Raw genomic sequence first — 4,094 nt, forward strand, 5'->3', positions numbered from 1 at the left:
ATTCATTTATCAGTTTTAGGAGCTTTTTGGATGAATCTTTAGGGTTTTCTAGGTATACAATCAAATCATCAGCAAAGAGCAACAGTTTGACTTCTTCTTTACTGATTTAGATGCCCTTTATTTATTTCTCTTGTCTGATTGCTCTGGCTAGGATTTCTAGTACTGTGTTCAATAAAAGTGGAAAAGTGGGCATCCTTGTCTTGTTCCAGTTCTCAGGGGGAATGCTTTCAACTTTTCTCCATTAAGTATTATGTTTGCTGTGGGTTTGTCATAAATGAGTTATATTACCTTAAGGTATGTCCCTTCAGTGCTGATTTTGCCGAGGGTTTTAATCATAAGTGGATGTTGGATTTTGTTAAATGCTCTTCTGCATCTATTGAGATAATCATGTGATTTTTTAAAAATTCTGTTTATGTGGTGTATCACACTTATTAACTTGAGTACTTTAAACTGTCCCTGCATCCCTGGTATGAAACCCACTTGATCATGGTGGATTATCTTTTTGATATGCTGCTGGATTCAATTTGCTAGTATTTTGTTGAGGATTTTTGAGTCTATGTTTATCAGGGATATTGGTCTATAGTTTTTTGTTGTTATGTCTTTTCTTGGTTTTGGTATTATGGTGATGTTGGCTTAATAGAATGATTTAGGGAGGAGTCCCTTTTTCTCTATCTTTTGGAATAGTGTCAATAGGATTGGTACAAATTTTTCTTTGAATGTCTGATAAAATTAAACTGTGGCTCCATCTGGTTCTGGACTTTTTTTTTTTTGGCAATTTTAAAATTACAACTTCAATCTTGCTGTTTGTTATTAGTCTGTTCAGAGCTTCTATTTCTTCCTGGTTTAATCCAGGGGAGTTGCATATTTTCAGGAATTTATCCATTTCCTCTAGATTTTCTAGTTTATGCATGTGAAGGTGTTCATAGTATCCTTGAATGATCTTTTGTATTTCTGTGATATCAGTTGTAATATCTCCCTTTTTGTTTTTAATTGAGCTTATTTGGATCTTTTCTCTTCTTATCTTGGTTAACCTCACTAATGGTCTATCAATTTTATTTATCTTTTCAAAGAACCAACTTTATGTTTCATTCATGTCTTGTCTTATTTATTTATATATTTATTTATTATTGCTTTCAATTTCATTTAGTTGTGCTCTGATCTTTCTTATTTCTTTTCTTCTATTGGACGTGGGTTTGATTCATTCATGTTTTGCAGTTCCTTGAGATTTGACCTTAGATTGCCAATTTTGCTCTTTCATACTTTTTGATGTAGGCATTTAAGGCTATTAACTTTCCTCTTAGCACAGTCTTTGCTGTATTCCAGGGGTTTTGATAGGTTGTGTCACTATTATCATTCAATTCAAAGAGTTATTTAATTGCCATCTTAATTTCATTGTTCACCCAACAATCATTCAGTAGCAGGTTATTTAATTTCCATGTATTTTCAGACTTTTTGATATACACATTTAAGGCTATGAACACTTTCCTCTTAACACAGTCTTTGCTGTATCCCAGAGGTTTTCATAGGTTGTGTCACTATTATCATTCAGTTCAAAGAATTATTTAATTTCCATCTTAATTTCATTGTTCACCCAGCAATCATTCAGGAGCAGGTTATTTAATTTTCACGTATTTTCATGGTTCCTTTTGGAGTTGATTTCCAATTTTATTCCACCGTAGTCTGAGAGAGTACTTGAAATAATTTTCATTTTCTTAAATTTGAGATGTTTTGTGGCCTGTCATATGGTCTATCTTGGAGACTGTTCCATGTGCTGATGAATAGAATGTATCTTCTGCAGGTATTAGGCAGAATATTCTGTAAATATCCATTAAATCCATTTGTTCTAGAGTATAGTTTAAATCAATTGTGTCTTTGTTGACTTTCTGTCTTGATGACCTGTCTAGTGCTGTCAGTGGAGTATTGAATTCCACCCCCCACTAGTATTGTGTTCTTGTCCATCTTATTTCTTAGGTCTATGTTATAAACAAAGTTTTGGTGCCACAAAAGAAGTAGCACTCGAATATAACATTTTCTTTTCAATCCTCAGCAAGGCAATGTAATTCTATAGAAGGGTGCTTGCTTACAGATGGAGCAATGGTGAGTGCACACCTGGAAAAAGGAGGGGAAAGTGTTCTTATCCCTGATGCACATGGCCTCTGCTGCTGTGTCATTCCCCTATTGGCTAGGGTTAGACAGCACAGGCTAAACTAATTCCGCTTGGCTAATTTAAAGAGAATGACAGGGTGAGTGGTTTGGCAGGAAAAGTGGTTATGGCAGAGCAGGAAATCAGAATGAGTCAGGGTGGAGAATGAGCAGGTAATAGGAATGAGTCAGAGTGGAGCCGATAATCGGAATGAGTCAGGGTGGAGCAGGTAATCAGAAAAGGTTTCTTTACAAGGAAGTTAAGTTTAAAAGTAGAAGGTAAAGCATTGAACATGCTGACATATTGATTCTTTGAAGAGAAATCTAGAACTCATATCTAACATCTAGTAGTGATTATTTTATACATTTAGGAGCTCCAGTGTTAGGTGCATATTTTTTTAGGATTGTGACATTCTCCTGTTTGACAAGTTCTTTTATAATTATATAATGTCCCTCTTTGTCTTTTTTAACTACTGTTGTTTTAAAGTTTATTTTGTCTGATATAAGAACAGATACTTCTGCTTGCTTTTTGTGTCTATTAGCAAGGAATATCTTTCTCCACCCCTTTAGCTTAGGTTTATGTGAGTCCTTATGTGTTAGGTGAGTCTTTTGAAAACAGCAGATACTTCATTGGTGAATTCTTATCCATTCTGCCATTCTGTATGTTTTAACTGGAGCATTTAGGCCATTTATATTCAACGTTAGTATTCAGATGTGAGGTACTATTCTATTCATCTTGCTATTTGTTGCCTGAATACTTTGGTTTTTTCATTGTATTTTTGTTTTGTATGTACTGTATAATTTATGCTTTAAGGAGGTTCTATTTTGGTTTATTTCTAGGATTTGTTTCAAGATTTAGAGCTCCTTTTATCAGTTCTTGTAGTGCTGGCTTGGTAGTGGCAAATTCTCTCAGCATTTGTTCATCTGAAAAAGACTGCATCTGCTGGGCACAGTGGCTCACACCTGTAGTTCCAGCAATTTGGGAGGCCAAGGTGGGTGGATCACTAGGTCAGGGGCTTTAGACCAGCCTGACCAACATGGTGAAACCCTGTCTCCACTAAAAATACAAAAATTAGCTGGATGTGGTGGCATGTGCCTGTAGTCCCAGCTACTCAGGAGGCTGAGGCAGGAGAATTGCTTGAACCCAGTAGGTGGAGGTTGCAGTGAGCTGAGATCATGCCACTGCACTCCAGCCTGGTGAGAGAGTGAGACTCCATCTCGAAAAAAAAAAAAAAAGAAAAAGGCTGCATCCTTCCTTCATTTATGAAGCTTAGTTTTGCTGGATACAAAATTCTTGGCTGATAATTGTTTTGTTTAAGGATGTTAAAGATAGGAACCCACTTCCTTCTAGTTTGTAGCATTTTTGCTGAGAGATCTGCTGCTAATTTGATAGGTTTTCCTTTATTGGTTACCTGATTCTCTTAAGATTCTTTCCTTCCTCTTGACCTTAGATAACCTAATGACTATGTGCTTAGGTGAGAATCTTTTCATGACAAATTTCCCAGGTGTTCTTTGAGCTTTTTGTATTTAGATGTCTGGATCTGTAGCAAGGGTTGGAGAGTTTTCCTCGATTATTCCCTCAAATAAGTTTTCTAAACTTTTAGATTTCTCTTCTTCCTCAGGAATGCTAATTATTCTTAGGTTTGATCATTTAACATAGTCCCAGACTTCTTGGAGGCTTTGTTCATTTTTTGAAATTCTTTTTTCTTTGTCTTTGTTGGATTAGGTTAATTCAAAAACCTTGTCTTTGAGCTCTGAAGTTTTTTCTTCTGCTTGTTTGATTCTATTGCTAAGACTTTCTAATGTATTTTGCATTTCTCTAAATATGTCTTTTATTTCCAGAAGTTGTGATTATTTTTATTTATGTTATCTATTTCACCAAAGATTTTTCTCTTCTTTCTGTGGTGCCTCCTTGATTAGCTTAATAATTAACCTTCTGAATTCTTTTACTT

The 4,094-nt window shown here is 35.3% G+C and overlaps 1 annotated feature.

The window, feature by feature from the left end:
* Positions 1,528-2,727: an enhancer, noted in NCBI's record as "MED14-independent group 3 enhancer chr6:87291002-87292201 (GRCh37/hg19 assembly coordinates)". NCBI's record gives its function as "activates an origin of replication core promoter dependent on BRD2, BRD4, P300/CBP and CDK7 cofactors, and independent of MED14, by STARR-seq in HCT116 cells {active_cell/tissue: HCT116}" and the evidence as "EXISTENCE:reporter gene assay evidence [ECO:0000049][PMID:35650434]".

The sequence above is a fragment of the Homo sapiens genome, chromosome 6, assembly GCF_000001405.40.
Source record: "Homo sapiens chromosome 6, GRCh38.p14 Primary Assembly".
Classification (NCBI taxonomy): Eukaryota; Metazoa; Chordata; class Mammalia; order Primates; family Hominidae; genus Homo; species Homo sapiens.